General features: G+C 36.7%; 1 annotated feature.

Moving 5' to 3' along the window:
* Positions 19,833-20,404: an enhancer, noted in NCBI's record as "NANOG hESC enhancer chr2:226182976-226183547 (GRCh37/hg19 assembly coordinates)". NCBI's record gives its function as "activates a minimal SCP1, AML or CMV promoter by ChIP-STARR-seq in primed H9 embryonic stem cells {active_cell/tissue: H9 hESC(primed)}" and the evidence as "EXISTENCE:reporter gene assay evidence [ECO:0000049][PMID:30033119]".

The raw sequence follows: 20,722 nt of genomic DNA, 5'->3' as shown, positions 1-20,722 counted from the left end.
ATAGAGGAGACCTCATGTATCAATAAGATAGTTTTTCTATTGATTATCAGTATCTTTGAAAAGCTGTGGAAATTTGCTAATAACTTGAAACTTGGAAGTTGAGTTTTGCTGTATTTTTTTCTTTAGTCATTGTAGACCTACCTAGTATATATAAGCTCCTGCTTCCCTGGGATTCAAGTACCCCCATTACATTTAGATTTTCCAGTTTGGTGACGGCAGCGCCCACTGTAAGGTCTGGTCTACAGAGAAGAGTAATCATAGATCTCTTCAAGGATGCCAGGGATGTTGTAAATTTACTTCTCATAGTTTTGGTAAAAGATATGCCTTCTGGACCTTCCCAGTGTGGATAATGAGGTCTTAAATAACAAACTTATTCTAACATTCCAATCACCTTAACCCTTTGAGTCCCCTGCTCTATGTTAAATCAAGTCAGCCCAGCATTTCCAGCTTGATCACTGTGATCCACGTTTTTTTGGTGAGTATTTCAGCCAACCAAACAAATTGTTATAGCCCTTTCTATCTTTTCAAACTGCAACATTAGATGCAGAATCTGTTTGGTGAGCCCTTACAACTAATTTTTTTCTGATTTGACATTATGTTCCTTTTACCTTTATTTTGATGTTAAGATCTATTCCAGCACATGTTTTACAGATTCTGCCTGTATAAATTAGAAAATTTGAGTAGTTATTTTGAAGTATAGAGTGTCTCCTCATGGATTCACATTCTTTGTACTTTACCCTTTGGGCTCCCCTAAGACATAAGTCAGGTTGTAGGTCTAGAATCAAGGAGGAGCAGTGAAAGTGAGTCCCAGGGGGACTTAGCATTGTCTTCAAGGCAACTGTCTCAGGGGAGCCCATTGCAATTTCCTTGGGCAATGCAGGGTTAATCCACTTAGAAGGAGAAGGTTGTGGAGAGGCTGCTACCCCTCACGGGGGAGAAGCCACTGGCAAAGAAGTCTCATCAGAGTTTAAGGGCTTAATGACCCAAATTTCATCAGGATCTTCCCACATGTCTCAATTCTAACATGCCGATTCCAATTTATTCCAAATCAATGCCCTCTTTTATAGTTGCCCAACTGTAAAAATGCCTAAATTTTACAGTTGATATTCTGCAAGGCTGAGAATTCAACTTATGTTGTAATTGAGACAGTTTCAGGATGATATCCTGTGTTTGATTTTCAGCAATCTCAATCGTGTGGCTACAGGATATAAGGGTCTCTTTGAGGGCATAAGTAGAAGCTCTCAGCTTATTTATGCAGTGCTTGAGTTGGAATTTGAATTCCTGAGCTCTGAGCTCATCTGGTTTTGTTTTGTTTTTTAAACCACTTTGTTCAGCAGCATTAGCAGCAACCAGTTAAACTTACTTACTCATTAGTTTTCCAAGAATGTTCAAAAGTATTTTATAAACAGTCACCCTGCTGCTTGCTTCTTATAAGTGGTAGATTAGGAGTATCTGATGCAGATATTTTGCATATCTCAATTGACAGATAACATCATAGACAATCAATGCTCTTTACTGCTAGAAATAGTCATTAGTGTCTTTAAATCTAATCAGAGACACAATTCCAGAAGTGCCAGAATGAATTCAGAAAACACATCCTTAAAATTGTTCTTCTAGGACCACTCAGTACCAAAATCTGTATGTCAGGGTTCACCAGAGAAATAGAAAAAATTGGAGAGAGAGAGAATATTAACGATAGATAGATAGATAGATAACAGAAAGATAGATAATAAAGAATTGGCTCATATGATTACGGAGGCTAAGCAGTCTCAAGATCGGCAGTCACCAAGCTGGAGACCTAGGAGAACCAATGGTGTAGTTCCAATCCAAGTCTTAATCCAAAGGCAGGAGAAGACATGTCCCAGCTTGAAGACAGTCAGGCATAGAGAGGGAATTCTTTCTTACCGAGCCTTTTTATTCTATTTAAGGCTTCAATAATTGAATGAGGCCCACCGACGTTTGGAGGGCAAACTACTCAGTCTACCAATGCAAATGGTAATCTCATCCAAAAAGACCATTTAAGACACACCAAAAATAATGTTTAACCAAATATCTGGCCACCCTGTGGTCCATTTATGTTGACACATAAAATCAACTAACACAGGTCATGACTGGGGTTTGAAATAAGTCACCATATGCAAAACAATACTAACTATTTTAGGTAAATCTAAAACAATTTAACATGATGTGTTTTTTCCATAAAAATATAATAGTCCATAATTGCTTGAGACAGTAGAGCCTTATAATCACATATCTACACATGTATTTATTTATTCTACCACTTGATCTTCCATGAGATTTTGTTGGAAGTAATTCAACCATTCAGCATCTCAGGATTTAACTCTCAAGTAGAGTCATTATGTTATACTCTTCTTACTAGAAAGTTATGACTAAGTAATGTAAATGGTAAGAATGTTTCAAATTTTACATGAGCAACAATATCACCCTAAGCTATAGGACAACCTTGTGAAATATAACTTTCTGAAATGATGAAAATGTCCTATACCTATACTGTAGAATTAAAAAGTCAGTGACTCAGTTGAAATAGCTACCTTTCAAGTGCTCAACTGCCACTTAATGAAATTAAATTAAACCTGAACTTAATTTAATATGGTTCCCATATGGAAGTGCAGCCTAAGAAAGCAAGCTACCAATGCTTTTTCCTTCTTCATCAGCAAAATTAACAGTTAGCCAATAATTCTGTTCCATGAGATGACAATCATGGGATTTTGAAAAAGGAAATTTGCTTATAAATGTTAAAAACTATGTTTTTCACTAATAGTGGCAAAAGTAAAACAAAATTATTTATACTATCACAAGAAACTGATCAGGTCACAATTTCCAGTATCATCTTCCATCTTATTTGAAATATTTCCAGTCCTAAAACTCCCCTAAACCAAAATTCAACATGAAGTTTTCCTATAAAATGTTTATTTATAGGAAAGTCTATTCTAAAAACTTAAGTTTTAAGAAGGGAATTCTTTGTATTATTCAATAAATTTGAAACCAACAAAGTTTGTATTTAAAGACTTGTGTGGTTTTATACTGTTTATTAACATTCAATGATGTTTGTAAATGTATGTTCACTCTGCTTTTTGATGTAGGAAGCATACATACTGCAGCACATAGATTTTTAAATAATTACATTTTCTTTTATAAAAGGAATGTTAAACATAGCTGAGGACAGCTAGAGGAAGGTAGAATAAATATTAGAAATGGGCACAGATATGGTGGTCAATAAATGAATATTTGAATGAAGTCTTACTTCTTTAAGACTCATAAAAGTACCCAATATAGATGCTTATTTTTTCTATTATTAATCTTAAAATAAATGTTCACCTTATAAAACATGAAGCACTTCTTAACACTTAGTGATATATCTAAAAATTATTTTTTGGAACTAAAGTGTATATTTAGTTGAGAAACAATTTACCATAAAATTCTAAAATTCGATCTCACTCAAAGAAGTATCTGTAAGCCTGTGGCTATCCTACATTGGGCAAAAGAGCTTCTCCTACTGTTTTCTAAAATTATTTTGGACCCAATTTAAAATATAGCAAAATAAAACAATAACAGCAACAAAAATATTTATAATTCTAAATGATTAAATGAAATTTTATTGTTACTTTTTTATTAGCTGATCTCTATGATGGGCATTGATCTTTTGGCAACACTGTTCAAACTCTCTAAACGATATGCCAGGAAAAATATGTATTTTGTTTACCTGTCCTAGAAGGACTTAGAAAAAAATTCACCTAGTTCCTGCAATTAAAATGTCAAAGGCATGCACAAAACAGTTTGGCTGGTACGTTCAATGATAAGAAACACAGGCTTAGTTTAATTCATTTTTCTAAAGTACCAACTGACAAGTTTTCATTGAATTCAGTCCAGGCTCAAAAGTATAATTGACGTCAGCTCAGATTCTTAGCCAAAGACAAACACTGAATCTGTTGCTGTTGGCTTTGTTTGGGTTTCAGGTGCAGGACCACCGCCATATGGTAGCCTTGAGGCTGTTTTTGTTATGGCGTGTGGGTCTGTATGTGTGAGTGTGTGTGCTTTTTAATATTGCAAACATCCTTCAGTTGCAAAGCAAACAAAGAAAAGGCAATCCACTCATTGCCTAGAACCACTACAGACCACCAACTGTTGGGTGCTATTAAAGTTATACAGAGCATTAGACAAATAGAAGTTCTTGTCAAAGATATTGCTTCACCACTGAATTCTTTATTTGCCCCTGACATCCTGTTTTCTTTTCACCAACAAATGGCTATGCATTTATAATTAATGAGTTTACACTGTATTATTAATATAGAATTGAGGACATTGTACAGCAAGCCAGTGTACACTTTCCAAGTTTTGCACCCACAGTGTTTATTGAATCATCATTATCTATGAGACTAGAGCAGTTTTCAATGTGTAAAAATGTTTTATTTCAAAATGGGAAATAATTTGGACTGAATGATAAGCAAATGAATCAGTGAATGAATCAATGAATGACTGCTTGTGGAAGAAGCTATTACATATTATAAATAGTTTTCTCGGTCGGGCGTGGTGGCTCACGCCTGTAATCCCAGAACTTTGGGAGGCCGAGGCGGGCAGATGACGAGGTCAGGACATTCAGATCATCCTGGCTAACACGGTGAAACCCCGTCTCTAGTAAAAATACAAAAATTTAGCCAGGCATGGTGGCATGCACCAGTAGTCCCAGCTACTCAGGAGACTGAGGCAGGAGAATCGCTTGAACCCGGGAGGCAGAGGTTGCAGTAAGCCCAGATCAGATTGCGCTACTACACTCCAGCCTGGGCGACAGAGCGAGACTCCATCTCAAAAAAAAAAAAGTTTTCTCCAGCACAGTCAATATATTTAATACTATATTCAATAGCTTTGAAAAGATTTACAGTTTTCTTCCTTGTTTAGATAATTACAACTCTAATTCCTCAATCAAGTTATTATTAAAGACATAAAAGTTCAGGCACTGCACAAGGCCATATGGTAAACATCATAAAAAACAAAAATCTCTAGGCTCAAAAAACGGAGTTTTCATATCTAACAGGAATATGTATGAAACAACAGTGGATACTGTAGGCAGAATATAATCATTAAATACAAGTAGTATAGGATAAAAAGGCCAGTATATAAATAATACTGGGAGGTTCCATAAAGGGGGTGGGGCTTACAACAACTCGGAGGAAGAAATAGATTTTACACAGAAAGGTGTGGATATTGAACATTCTTACAGGACAGACTAACAGTGTGAAGAAAAAGGAGTGAGAGGGAACACGCTGGGTTATAGGTAATTATGAACAATATATAGTGTGACTACAGTGTAATAGGCAATATTGTTAGATAATTGAACTAGCAGGATTTATAAGAACCTGATTTCTAGGCATTTAGACTTGATGCAATAGAGTAGTGTGTTCAATAAAATCTGGGATTGTAGATTAATCTATTCAAGGCCCCTGAAGTTATCTGATTTCACTAGGAAATCTCCATTTTGGTCTGTTTCATATGTTCGGAAGACATTGTAAAATTTTGTTGAATAAAATGGTTATGATATATAAAAAATACAGTTTCAACAGGCAATAAGAAATTTCTATTTACTTAAACCAATCATGAGATAAACTTAGCCTATATAAACACATATAATATATTTACAGTGTAACAATTTAATTTTTCTGACTTGGTCATTATTATGGCTATTAGTAAGTTATAAACAGAAGCCAAAATTCTAAAAAATCCTGCCTCTAATTTGTACCTACCCCTTTCTTATAACTGATACTCTAATTGTAATACAATTAACAAACATATCCCCAATGACGAATTAGTTGACCCTATTGAGGAAATATAGTAGGTGTGTATATTTATATATATACTTACTATATATTATATATTATTACAACTACTATATATTATATACTACTATATAACATACAGTACTATATATTATATACTACTACTTACTACATACTATATATTATATACTACTACTATATATAATACTATATATTATATGGTACTACTATATATAAATATAAATGTATTTTTTTATAAATAAATATAATTTCTAGTAGGTGTTAAGCTACTTCTGCTAGACATTTTTGAAGGGCAAACTTTTCAAAATAATTACAGGTAAGAGAGGTTTCTCCTGTTATTACTGCACACTTCAAGAGTTCAAAGACTAATAAAAGTTATTAGTTTCACATTTATCAGCTTTATCTGTGTCTTATTTTTCTTCTGGGCCCTCATACAACTACTAAGTCTCAAAGATCAAGTATACGAGACACATGGTCAATTCAACATCTAGCTCATGGGAAAACCTTGGTCAAATTCTTAATGATTTCATTGTCTATCAAATTATATTAAAAGCCAAGCTCATTCTAAAAGGTGTGACTTCCTAATGAGTTCACCTCTAAGCACTTCTCCAGCAGTTACCAAGGTCTGTGTTTCAAGTACTCTAACTTGTAAATTGGAAGTTTTCCTTGATTAGAACTCTGACTCAAAAGCTCTGGGTGGAGGTTATAGATAAAGGGTTTTGACTGATTTTCAAAATGTTGCTTCATCAATATGGGAGCTGATTTCTGTAGTCGGTGTCATTAAATGCTCCTCTGAAAGGTCAAGCCGGTGTGGAAGACAGTGTGGTGATTCCTCAGGGATCTAGAACTAGAAATACCACTTGACCCAACCATCCCATTACTGGGTATATACCCAAAGGAATATAAATCATGTTACTATAAAGGCACATGCACACGTATGTTTATTGCGGCACTATTCACAATAGCAAAGACTTGGAACCAACCCAAATGTCCAACAATGATAGACTGGATAAAGAAAATGTGGCACATATACACCATGGAATACTATGCAGCCATAAAAAATGATGAGTTCATGGCCTTTGTAGGGACATGGATGAAGCTGGAAACCATCATTCTCAGCAAACTATTGCAAGGACAAAAAACCAAACACCGCGTGTTCTCACTCAGGTGGGAATTGAACAATGAGAACACTTGGACACAGGAAGGGGAACATCACACACCAGGGCCTGTTGTGGGGTCGGGGGAGGTGGGAGGGATAGCATTAGGAGATATACCTAATGTAAATGACGAGTTAATGGGTGCAGCACACCAACATGGCACATGTATACATATGTAACAAACCTGCAAGTTGTGCACATGTACCCTAAAACTTAAATAATAAAATATATATATATATATATATATATATATGTATATAAAAAGGTCAAGCGGGGCTGACCAATTTGTCCTGTGGGATATTAAATTTAACCTTTGGACTGTTGCTCCCCCTTCTCCTAATCCTGCCCCCTAGATACTCCTTTTCTTTCCATGCATTTCAATGGAACTTGGTGGCCACGCTGTTAGTCATTAGAAAAGGCTTTGTTACAGATTTATGAATGTCCTGGATGCTGGATAAAGTGTTTTTAGTAAACGAGTAATCATTATGTACCTTATCTGCAGCTTTTCCTTACTCTTACAACCATTTCTTTAAAGTGGTGATTCTCAACACTGGCTTGACATTAGAATAACCTGAGGAGCTTTTCTACAACTTCAAGGATAGGCCCCACCACAAACCAATTAAATCAGAATCTCTGGCCTTGGGATCCAGCATCAGCATGTTTTTAAGGCTTCCAAGGAGATGCCAATGAGTAGCCAAGGCTGAGAACTGTTGTGGTAAAGAGATGCTTTGTCTTCTCAGATCTTTGTCTAAAGGTTATGAAGAACTATTTGACATCTTTCAATCTCTGGTTCTCTGCCTGGAAGTTCAATTGGATCAGTGTCACATGCTTCTAATTTGTGCCATATTTTATGATATTATGCTCCATCTAGTATTTCCCCAAATTATCGTAACTCCATTCTCTTCTGTGGATTCCAGAGAGTAAGAGAGACGAAGAGTTGGCTTGTAAAGGGGATGCCGCTGCACTCTTTCTTTTGCAAGTGATAGAAGACTTACCATAAATTAAAATAAGGAACATAGAATAACACTTACTGAGTTATGTAACTGAAATGTTCTGGGAGTGGGACTAGATCAAGAGGTGGCTTGATTTCAGAACTAAAATGATGGTGTCACCAGGACTTGGTGTTTCTTTATTTCTTGGCTTCATCTGCGGTCCTGTTGACTTCATTTTCAGATCCCGTATTTGGGGACCCTTTCAGTTCCAGGCTAATATTATTCCAAGTACAAGCTAAATAGCAGACAAGTCTCTTTAAATAGGCCATGTTTAAGCTCTGGCAATCATTCTAATAGGCTACCTAGATCTTGTATTCCTGAACCTACCCCTAAACCAATTATGACCTATAGAGATATTTAGAGTATAAAATAAGGCCTGTGTTTTCCCATGCTCCCTCTCTGGAGTCAGGATAGTGTGAAGCACAATACCTGAAATTGGAGACAGGTATTTTCTACCAAAATTTATATTGCTCCTACCTAAAGAGAGGGAATCAGTAACAGGCTTCAAAAAAACTAACAAGCAAATTGTCCATCACAGGGCAACAGAGCCAATAGGGTGAGGTCTCCAAGGAACTTGCAATAAAAATGAGTCTCTCTCATAGATCAGTGAATGACAAATATGAAAGAGTTTCTGGGGACACCTTAGCCATGGCCAGCTTTTTATTAACCGTAGGCAGAAAGGATCCAGTATAATGATGGAAGGTTACAGGATATTTTAGGAAAGGCAAGAACCAGTAAAGAATTACTTGATATCAGCATGTCTTTCTTAATGAAGTGTAGGTTGTAAAAACACTCATTTAAGAAAAAAAGAGGAACTAAATGACATTTTATAAAGTAAAAATGAGAGATAAGCAACAGTTCTTTTAATTTAGCTGTTTCTCTATTACCTAAAAAAAAAAAAAAAAAAGATTCACAAGGCTAAGAATCATGCTTTATTCAATCTGCATGGGAAAGCCTATAAATATTTGATAAGATGATGCTATGGCCATAAAAGAAAATGGTGAGAAAAGGTCCCTTCTCATTATCATGAAGATGATATGATCTAGAGATTACACAGGTTTTCAAATCAATTGCTTATTGAATTCAACTTCCATGTGATGTTTGGTGAGACTTTTCACTTCTGCCTCAGCTGCTTAATGTCTAAGGTCGGATAATAATAATTCTTACCTATAGCGTTTTGAAGTGAGGTTATCCATGAAGCATGAACAAATGTTTGGCACAGAGTAAGTGCTCAATAAATATTAAACATTTATCTCTTCCTTCTCCTCTCCCTCCTCCTCTCTTTTATCTTATCATGATCATAATTGTTATTGCATGGCAGTTAATGTTATTTAATCACTGAAATAATGTACTATTTTCCTTTGGATTTTTTAGTTTAATTTATATATCTTTCTGGTCTGTTTCTATTCTAGAAGTAATAAGACTCGATATGGTTTGGATCTGTGTCCCCACACAAATCTCAAATGTAATCCCCAGTGTTGGAGGTGGAGCCTGATGGTAGGTGATTTGACCATGGGGGCGGTTTCTCAGGAATGGTTTAATACCATTCTCTTGGTGCTGTTCTCATGATAGTGAGTGAGTTATCATAAGATCTGGTTGTTTAAACGTGTGTAGCACCTCCCTACTCTTTCTCTTCCGCCTGCTCCCACCATGTGAGAGGCCTCATTTCCCCTTTGCCTTGTGTCGTGATTGTAAGTTTCCCAAGGCCTCCCCAAAAGCTGAGCAGATGCCAGCATCATGCTTCCCGTACAGCCTGCAGAACTGTGGGCCAATTAAGCCTCTTTTCTTTATAAATTATCCAGTCTCAGGTATTTCTTTATAGCAGTGCGAGAATGAACTAATACAAGATATATAGGAAAAACAAAATTATAAGAAAAAAAAGGAAACAAGAAACCATGATGTGAGAACTAAAAATAAAATCCTAAGTCCCCCAAAGGATGAAACAGACCCCTTTTGGCCAAGAGGATCCTAGAAAAACCTTAAAAACTGAGTTCCCAGCCATGATAGGAAGAGAGGTTGGACACACCTTGTTGTACCTCCTCCCTTTTGCAGTTCGGACACAACTGATCAGCATTAATGTTAAAATAGAGACCATAAGACTGATGGAATAAACTCTTTGTGGCAATAAAATACCAAATTATAAACAAGACCTAAGGCCATGCCAGGCAAGGATGAAGTCACTCATCCTTACATTTAAATAAACTATGTTCTAACTGCCACAATGTTGTTCTTTTTTTCTGGTAGCTAAATAAACAATGGCCTTGAGATAAGCAATATTGAAACCATGACGGTTCATCCTCCTCCAGACACTGACTCACTGACCCCCTGGCTCCACCAGCCGTAACTACAGCTTTGATCAAACCAAGAGACTGATTTTAGTAGTTTTCTCCTGATAAGAGAACGCTGACCATGGACTGGCTCTGACTGGTTTACAGAGACTGGGCACCTGAGCACTCTGCTTCAGCTTTTGATGTATACCGCCTAATTGTAATATATTTAAAGGTAATGTCTTCATCCCAAAGTGAATAGGGGGTTGTATGAAACATGGATGTTTGTTCAGTACGCACATGTCAGGACCCTGTTTGTGAATATCCATAGCTCCTCCTATAACTTGTTGAATACTTAGCCAACCCCTTCACGATAAATTCCTGTCTCACCTTCCCTCCTTCCAAGTTCCTGCCTTTTGGCTTTCCTGGTACCTATGCTCCCCAGCCTGGGTGGTGGCCAACCTGCAGATTGTAACCTTTCATAAGAAATAAAGTCTCCTTTCTAAATTTATAATTTGGTGATTTTTCAATTGATGTATCCATAATTCTGTCATTCAAATTTAAATACTACTAAATATTTTGGTGTTTTTCTTCCTTCATTTTCTTCTGAATAACTTTGATATGCTTATTTTTTATTTTAAGAATAAAATACTCTATATTTGTTAAAATTGCCCTCTACTAATTTTTAAATGTTTGTATCCATAGAAGATATAGCATTTCCCACAATATTCAAAAAATGTAAACATTCACCTGAATTCCTATTTTTCAGTTCTTTAGTTAGCTAACTGGTTAAATAGATATTCATCAGATTTTCCATTTTAGTTTTTATATTTAAGAATCAGGAAACATTTTTTAAACTTCTGCAGACTAAAAGTAGCATTGGATATTTTCTTAGTCTGGGTAAGTGTTGGAAATAATCATAATCATTTAAGTGCAGATTTTACTATGTAAACCAATTAATACATATCCTAAGTAAGATAAATTACATAGTTTCCTCAGAATGGGGCAGGTTCAAAAATATATTTATAAATTATTTTGAACTCCAAGTTAACCTTAAGATTAAACTTAATCTAACATGTAAACAATTCATTTTGTTATAAACCCATTGGGAATCATCTTTTCTAAAACTGCAAGACAGAAAAAAATAAAAAACATATTCCCAGTTCTCCCCTGTGGAGAGAACAAGCTTTTCCTGACTTTCTTACACATTCTTGAAAGAACTAAAGAATTGCTTCATCTCTGCTGCAAGCGGACAATTACTCTCCCACAGTCAGTCACACAAGGCAGGCATGCCCCAGCACCACTTACAGCCTGCTGAAGCACAGCCTCTCCCACCTTCCACCAGAGGTAGCAGGGAAATCAGTAAATAGGCAGGGTGGCAGAATGGAAATAGGAAGAAGTGAGACATCCTCATCTGAACCTTTTTCAGCCATGCACTCTTCTTCTTCCATCCCTAGTCAATTCCAAGAAGAACTGCAAGTCAGGTAAAAGACCAAGAAGAACCTAATTGTTTTCTGCTGTTCATATCATGAACAATACCCCAAGATGAAATAGGCTGAATGTGAGAGTGCTTTTGATAACAAAAACAGGAAAGTTTTGGCATCACCACCAACTCAGCCCCTATGGTCTTTCCCAAATGCCTATATCTCTCTTACTTCCCTGCCACTCCCATGGTCAATGGACCACAGACGTACCAATTCACTTACCAGACAAGATTTCCAAGTGTCTTCCCATTTATTCTCTTCTCCTTTCTATTTACTTAGTAACTAATTCTCATCCTTTCTTTCATAAACTGGCTTAGGAAGCTTCAGTTGGTCTCCCTGATTCCCATACTCCCAGTTCCATTTATTCTTCCTGCTCGTGCTAAGATTTATCTGTTTGTACATCTGTCTAATTGTTCTGCTTTTAAAAATATATAAACAAGCCAGGCGCGGTGGCTCATGCCTGTAATCCCAGCACTTTGGGAGGCCGAGGTGGGTGGATCACGAGGTCAGGAGTTCAAGACCAGCCAAGATGGTGAAACCCTGTCTCTACTAAAAATACAAAAATTAGCCAGGCGCAGTGGCAGGTGCCTGTAATCCCAGCTACTCGGGAGGCTGAGGCAGGAGAATCGCTTGAACCCAGGGAGTGGAGGTTGCAGTGAGCCAAAATCGTGCCACTGCACTTCAGCCTGGGTGACAGAGTGAGACTCCATCTCAAATAAATAAATAAATAAATAATTAAATAAATAAATAAATAAATAAATAAAAATATATAGAAACAATTTCCACTCTTTCTTCGTGTGAATGAGATAGATACAAACTTCTTAGGGTGGCGTAAAAACCTTTGCATGGCATGTTTCTACTTTAACATCAGGATGCCATCTCAGCCATCATCGCTCCTGCTTTATCCTCTCCCCACCACACCTACTTTCTTTTCTTTTCTTCCTCCTCTCCCCCATCACACATGCCACCATTCTCTTCATACATCATTTCTTTTCCTGCCCACATACACATACACTTGCATATGCCATTCTTCCAGCACAGGAAAGAATATGAGAAGTAACATTTGTTGAGCACACTTAATTTTTCAAGCATGCAACCTGCACAGGATTGTAAAGACATGGGAATGATTGTTTCTATATTGTAGGAAAGAAAACTGAGGAGAAGGAAACTCTCCAAGCACATTATGATGATTGGCGGTGTTGCCTGGCTTAAAATTTTTGTCCTTTCTCCTGTGTGGAATGCCGTACACCCAATTCTTTGCCAGAAAAATCTTCATTTGGCCTTTAAATCTCAGTTTAGATATGAGCTCACCTCCCAAGGCTCAGAGAGAAGAATAGAATAACTTTCTATATAATGTTACTTCTTCAGGTGATCTCAAAATTTCTGCATGGGAGACTCAGAGGAAGAATCCATTTGCAAGGGAAGGATAGTGGGGGCAGGCAAGGGGACCCATCTTGGAGCTTTGTTTATGTCATGAGCACACAGTTTCAACTTTGTTTTATGCTGATGAAGATGAGTATGCAATGCCTGCAGACAACCTGCCTCTTGGCATTGTAATATGACATCTCTTACGACACAAGTTATATTCTAGTCTTCCATGAATATAGCTACCTGATAGACTAATAAAGTGAGCTTCCTGGGTCTTGCACAACATCTCATTCATCTTTCTTTTCAATACCCTCGACAGGGATCTAGCTTTCCATAGGTGCTCAGTAATTGTCGGGTGAATGAGAGCAGGAATAGATGAAATGATTATTTCCTGCCACAAAAATACTTTGGAATCTTTCAATGAACTTCGTTAGCAAACAGTGTGGAAGTATGGTGTTTTCAAATATCAAAAACCAAGGCTCTAAGTACCTGTTAATGGCACGTGTGGCTATTTTAGTTAAGTTTTAATACGTTTAAACAAATAGATCACTTTAATACCCAAAGTCAATGATCCATTTAGCCAAGTAATGCCATAATTTACTCTCAAAAAGATCACGTCACAGTTCCACTTTAATCTTGGTAATGGTTGTATTTCTATTATTGTGATTCAATTAAAATTAAACAATTTTCTTAAAAAATTAAGGTGGAAACTTGGATAGTTTAGATAAAAATAGTAACTGAAAATTATAAAGGTACTAAGAAAACATGTCACTTATGCTTTTATAACCTCAAAATGGGAACTCATAAAAGACAGGGCTGTAATTCTATAGGAGATCTAATAGCCAAGATCCTAATATTTTGTATCAGATGTTGAGGAAAAAAAGTTGACAAAGAGCCACATAAAGCTCATTGCTTCTTCATTTACCCAATGAAATAAGGCCTCAGGCCACCATAATATTTTAGTTTTCTCTCTAAACTAACTATGACAGTGACTGTTATTTGAGTCTCCATCAGACAAATCACTAGATTCTTTGCATGAACTATCCTTCTAATTCTCACAAATATACTTTAGAGTAGATAATGTTCTCTTTTCTCTACAAATAAGGACACTGAGGTTCAAAGAATTTGTAAATGATTGGACATGTATCTTCTATAACTTATCTGATATCTAAAGCCTGACAATTGTTTCTATACAATTCTACACTTATAACTATAAATTCTACTTAGTTATTTCAGGCATATGGAATTCTTTTTTTTTTTTTAAATTTATTTATTATTATTATACTTTAAGTTTTAGGGTACATGTGTACAATGTGCAGGTTAGTTACATATATATACATGTGCCACGCTGGTGCGCTGCACCCACTAACTCATCATCTAGCATTAGGTATATCTCCCAATGCTATCCCTCCCCCCTCCCCCAACCCCACAACAGTCCCCAGAGTATGATGTTCCCCTTCCTGTGTCCATGTGTTCTCACTGTTCAGTTCCCACCTATGAGTGAGAATATGCGGTGTCTGGTTTTTTGTTCTTGCGATAGTTTACTGAGAATGATGATTTCCAATCTCATCCATGTCCCTACAAAGGACATGAACTCATCATTTTTTATGGCTGCATAGTATTCCATGGTGTATATGTGCCACATTTTCTTAATCCAGTCCATCATTGTTGGACATTTGGGTTGGTTCCAAGTCTTTGCTATTGTGAATAATACCGCAATAAACATACGTGTGCATGTGCCTTTATAGCAGCATGATTTATAGTCCTTTGGGTATATACCCAGTAATGGGATGGCTGGGTCAAATGGTATCTCTAGTTCTAGATCCCTGAGGAATCACCACACTGACTTCCACAATGGTTGGACTAGTTTACAGTCCCACCAATAGTGTAAAAGTGTTCCTATTTCTCCACATCCTCTCCAGCACCTGTTGTTTCCTGACTTTTTAATGATTGCCATTCTAACTGGTGTGAGATGATATCTCATAGTGGTTTTGATTTGCATTTCTCTGATGGCCAGTGATGATGAGCATTTTTTCATGTGTTTTTTGGCTGCATAAATGTCTTCTTTTGAGAAGTGTCTGTTCATGTCCTTCGCCCACTTTTTGATGGGGTTGTTTGTTTTTTTCTTGTAAATTTGTTTGAGTTCATTGTAGATTCTGGATATTAGCCCTTTGTCAGATGAGTAGGTTGCACAGGGATGCCCTCTCTCACTGCCCCTATTCAACATAGTGTTGGAAGTTCTGGCCAGGGCAATCAGGCAGGAGAAGGAAATAAATGGTATTCAATTAGGAAAAGAGGAAGTCAAATTGTCCCTGTTTGCAGACGACATGATTGTTTATCTAGAAAACCCCATCTTCTCAGCCCAAAATCTCCTTAAGCTGATAAGCAACTTCAGCAAAGTCTCAGGATACAAAATCAATGTACAAAAATCACAAGCATTCTTATACACCAACAACAGACAAACAGAGAGCCAAATCATGAGTGAACTCCCATTCACAATTGCTTCAAAGAGAATAAAATACCTAGGAATCCAACTTACAAGGGATGTGAAGGACCTCTTCAAGGAGAACTACAAACTACTGCTCAAGGAAATAAAAGAGGATACAAACAAATGGAAGAACATTCCATACTCATGGGTAGGAAGAATCAATATCGTGAAAATGGCCATACTACCCAAGGTAATTTACAGATTCAATGCCATCCCCATCAAGCTACCAATGACTTTCTTCACAGAATTGGAAAAAACTACTTTAAAGTTCATATGGAACCAAAAAAGAGCCCACATCGCCAAGTCAATCCTAAGCCAAAAGAACAAAGCTGGAGGCATCACACTACCTGACTTCAAACTATACTACAAGGCTACAGTAACCAAAACAGCATGGTACTGGTACCAAAACAAAGATATAGATCAATGGAACAGAACAGAGCCCTCAGAAATAACGCCGCATATCTACAACTATCTGATCTTTGACAAACCTGAGAAAAACAAGCAATGGGGAAAGGATTCCCTATTTAATAAATGGTGCTGGGAAAACTGGCTAGCCATATGTAGAAAGCTGAAACTGGATCCCTTCCTTACACCTTATACAAAAATCAATTCAAGATGGATTAAAGATTTAAACGTTAGACCTAAAACCATAAAAACCCTAGAAGAAAACCTAGGGATTACCATTCAGGACATAGGTGTGGGCAAGAACTTCATGTCCAAAACACCAAAAGCAATGGCAACAAAAGCCAAAATTGACAAATGGGATCTAATTAAACTAAAGAGCTTCTGCACAGCAAAAGAAACTACCATCAGAGTGAACAGGCAACCTACAACATGGAATTCTTTAAGATAACAGCATCATTTAGAATCATAGGCATATATTGAAATTTACTTAACCTTTGTAATGTCTCAATTTACTTTATAAAATGATTTTGAGGATTAAACGATAGAATCAATGTAAAGCAACAGCTCTGAGCTTATAATAAGGCTTTTAAGAGGTTCCGAGCTTATCATAAGCACTCAATAAACTTTAGATGATGATGATGGTCATGATGATGATGATGATGGTAATAATGATGATAACAATGATTTAGTCTAACCTACTCATTTTTCTGTTTCAATAAGAAGCTGACTCAGAGAAATCAAATGACAAGCACCCATGGGAAAACGGTGGTAGAGCTGATTCTCACTTCTCTAGGGCACTGCTTACCTAGAGATTGCTTGATGATACAGTATGATGAATATTACCATGTATAACCTGGCATGCAGCTAAAAAAGAAAACAAACAAAAAGAGGTAATCTTCTCTAGGTTCAGAGTGATATAATATCTTGCTACTCAATGTGTGTTCCACAAACTAGCACCATCAGTATCACTTGAGAATTGGTTAAAAAGGCAGACTCTCAGACCCCTCTCCAGACTTGCTGAATCAGAATCTGCATTTTAACAAGATGCCCAATGATTCATAATCCCACTAAAGTTAGAGAAGCATGGCTACAGTGCTCAACCACCTGGAAGCAAAATAAAGATTAAGAATATGGGCTGTGGAGAGACACCTGGATTCCAACCCTGTCTCTAGCATTTCATAGCTGTGACACCTTGGGCAAGTTCTTATAAAAATTAAATGCTATCACCTGAGGTTAGGAGTTCAAGACCAGCCTAGCCAACATGGGTGAAACCCCGTCTCTACCAAAAATATAAAAAATTAGCTGGGCGTGGTGGCAGGTGCCTGTAATCACAGCTACTTGGGAGGCTGAGGCACAAAGAATCACTTGAACCCGGGAGGCAGAGGTTGCAGTGAGCTGAGATTGCACCATTGTACTCCAGCCTGGGCAACAAGAGCAAAACTCTGTCTCCAAAAAAAAAAAAAAAATTAAATGCCATAGTATATTTAAAGCACGTAGTACAATATGGTTATACTCATGTCATAATAATGAAGACAGACCTAAATACTAAGAAGTGTACTTTAAATGACAAATAATGAGAAGATAGAGACTTGGACATGGGTCTAAAATTTTCACCTTCCAAATCAAATAGGAATAAAAGAGACTTACAGAAAAAAAAATGAGAGTAATTATGAAACATCTAATTTTTAAAAATGTATATATATGCATATACACACATGCACATATATATGTATATACATATATGTATGTATATGCGCATATACATACATATATGTATACATACCTACACATACAAATATATATATAATTTCTCAGGTTTATACAAAATGTTTGTTATCATTCTCAAATACAGATCCTATTCATGCAGGGAAAATGAAACTGAGACTGAGTCAAGAGTGCATGTCAGATTCTGTCCACTAGCTATGTCTAGATCCTTAACTGACTATTCTCATTTTTCACAATCAGTTTTCATGGAAATGGACATTTTCTACTTGCTGAGTAGAGAATTAGCTCAGTGTTAATGCTCATCTTATTTCATAGTTTTCAGTGTGTTGTAACACTGACACATCTACAAGATGACCTGTCATCTCATCAGCCTGGCCAAGTAAAACTTAAATAAAGATAGATGGAGATTAATATGACTTATATCATAACAAGATAGCATTAACCAGAAAAGATAATGGGGGCCCATGAGTTTTAGAAAAAATTAATTTCTCTTGAGCAAAACTGAAGTTCTTTTTACTAACAGTACTTTCCAAATGTACTTGAATTCCCACAGTATCATTTTCTATATTTGTAAAATAATGATATTATGACAGTCACTGATGAAATGGTATATCAAAGCACATTTTTGGATTTGGAAGCATATTCTATCATGCCTAATGTCACATGATTAATCTGAGTCTGTGCCAAATTGAAGCCCTAATTAAACATGCACTTTTTAAATGAAGATGGAAGGGTCTTCCTCCACCAGCCATGCCTGGTAGCATCTACCTATTCATTCTCCATCATGTGACCAAAAAATGTGCTCTTTAAATTTGTTGTAGCTGGTGTTGTAAATGAGAAATGAGTAGTCTTTAACCTGTAAGCCCACCAGATGGCTTTAGCATAGATCAGATAACAGGATAATAGTACTACAATTTCTCCAGGGCATATTTTTCTCCCTATATGGATAATTATATCTTCTTCATCTCAGTTTTTTCTGAAAATAATAAGCAAATTACAAGTTGGTGACTGTAATTGTCACATTTCAGTCTGTATTTTTCATTACCTAATGTTGGTTTTCAAGTATTCTATGTGTAGCTGGGGCACTAAGGTTAATGTCTAGTTTAGGACAACTAATTTTAGAGGTTTTGATAATGAAAATCTAAAACCATAGAGACAGATTGATTTGGGTTGTTTAAAATTAATTTGGCCTCTTATTTTAAGTTAAAAAGAAGTCTGGATTGTGTCAAAGATTAGCTGACCTCTCCCTCAACAAATTGTTCACCAATAAAGCTTAGGACTTAATTTTTACTTATCATGGTAGCCTGTCTTTGCATTTATTATCAGTTCACACCATGGACCTCTAGGGAATTGCTTGTCAGTGCTGATTATTTTTGTCATTCCAGAGATCCTTGAAGTATTATATCTGATAATGATCCTAAGATCTGATTAAATTGCCTGAGATGAGAGGCTTTTTTCTTGCACCTCATCCAGATAGATAAGTTATCTACAGCCACTAAGAGTCAGTCAGAATGGATTTCATTCTGATAATCAAAGCCTAAATAAATCTCCTTTTCCTGATCTTTGAGGTTAATATGCATCAATTTCTTCTCTCTTACAAGTGATGCCATATATAAGTATATGAAAATAATTATTTCATGTTTTTATAATATTGCATTCTTCTTTATCTAAAGGTTTTTAGTTTAAGCTATCTTAAAAATATTTGAAAAGGTCACTGACCTTAAAATTGCTATAAATTATATGGAATCAAAATTTTTCATCAATATATCATTAAAAGTTTATTTTCCAGTTCAACATCTATAACACGTTACAGAAGGTGCTGTAAAATACATTCTGTGTTCCACACCTGTGTATTATCTGCAACCACCTCACATCTGAAGAATTGCAAAAGAGTCCAATCTGTTCTATCTGCTGCCTTTCTTTTTTTCTGTCTAATTATTTAATTCATTATATTCATTCATTAATACTCTCTTCTGGTTCTCAGTATATGCCCTCTCCTGGGTTTTATAAGTACAGTGGAGAGCCGAAAGAGATGTAGTTTCTGTCCTTAAAGACCTTGCAAGCAAGTTGAGAAAAGAAAAGATAATCAGAAGACAAATGGACAAAATAAAGTTGCCAATTACTTAGTGCCAAGCAGGAGATGCTGTATAGTTAAAAGGGGGATGAGGGTGGGCTGGGCGCAGTGGCTCATGCCTATACATGCAAGCTGTATTTGGGCCCCTTTTAGCCATGGCTGGAGCAGGAGCTGGAACTGGTGGGATTCAGGGAGCAGTGTCCCAAAGCTGCACAGGGCAGTTGGGCCCTGAGTGTGGCCAATGATACCATTCTGTCCTCCCAGGCCTCCAAGCCTGTGATGGGAAGGGCTGCCACAAAGGTTTCTGAAATGCCTTCAAGGTTTTCTCTCCATTGTCTTGGATATCAGCACTTGCCTTCCTTTTAGTTATGTAAATTTCTGCAATCTGCTTGAATTCCTCCCCTGAAAATGGGCTTTCCTTTTTCTACTATATGACCAGACTGCAAATTTTCCAAACTATTATGCTCTGCTTCCCCTTTAAATATAAGTTCCAGTTTTAGATCATCTCTTTGCTCACACAATGGGAATAGATGGTTAGAATCAGCCAGGCCAAATCTTGAACACTTTGCTGCTTGGAAATTTCTTCCACCAGATAACTTCAGTAATCATTCTCAACTTCAAACTTCCACAAGTCCCCAGGGCAGGGGCACAATGCAGCCAACCTCTTTGCTAATGTATAACAACAGTGACCTTTGCTCCAGTTCCTAATTAGTTCCTCATTTCCATCTGAGACTTCCTCAGCCTGGACTTCATTATCCATATCACTATCAGCATTTTGGTCACAAGAACTTTACAAGTCTCTATAAAGTTCCAAAGTTATTTTCCATTTTCCCACCTTCTTCTGAGCCCTCCACACTATACCAATCTTTGTCTGTTACTCAGTTCCAAAGCTGCTTCCACATTTTCAAGTATCTTTACAGCAGTTCCCCACTTCTCAGTACCAATTTTC

Source organism: Homo sapiens, chromosome 2, assembly GCF_000001405.40.
Source record: "Homo sapiens chromosome 2, GRCh38.p14 Primary Assembly".
Lineage (NCBI taxonomy): Eukaryota > Metazoa > Chordata > Mammalia > Primates > Hominidae > Homo > Homo sapiens.
This window is presented reverse-complemented; position numbering and strand designations above follow the sequence as displayed.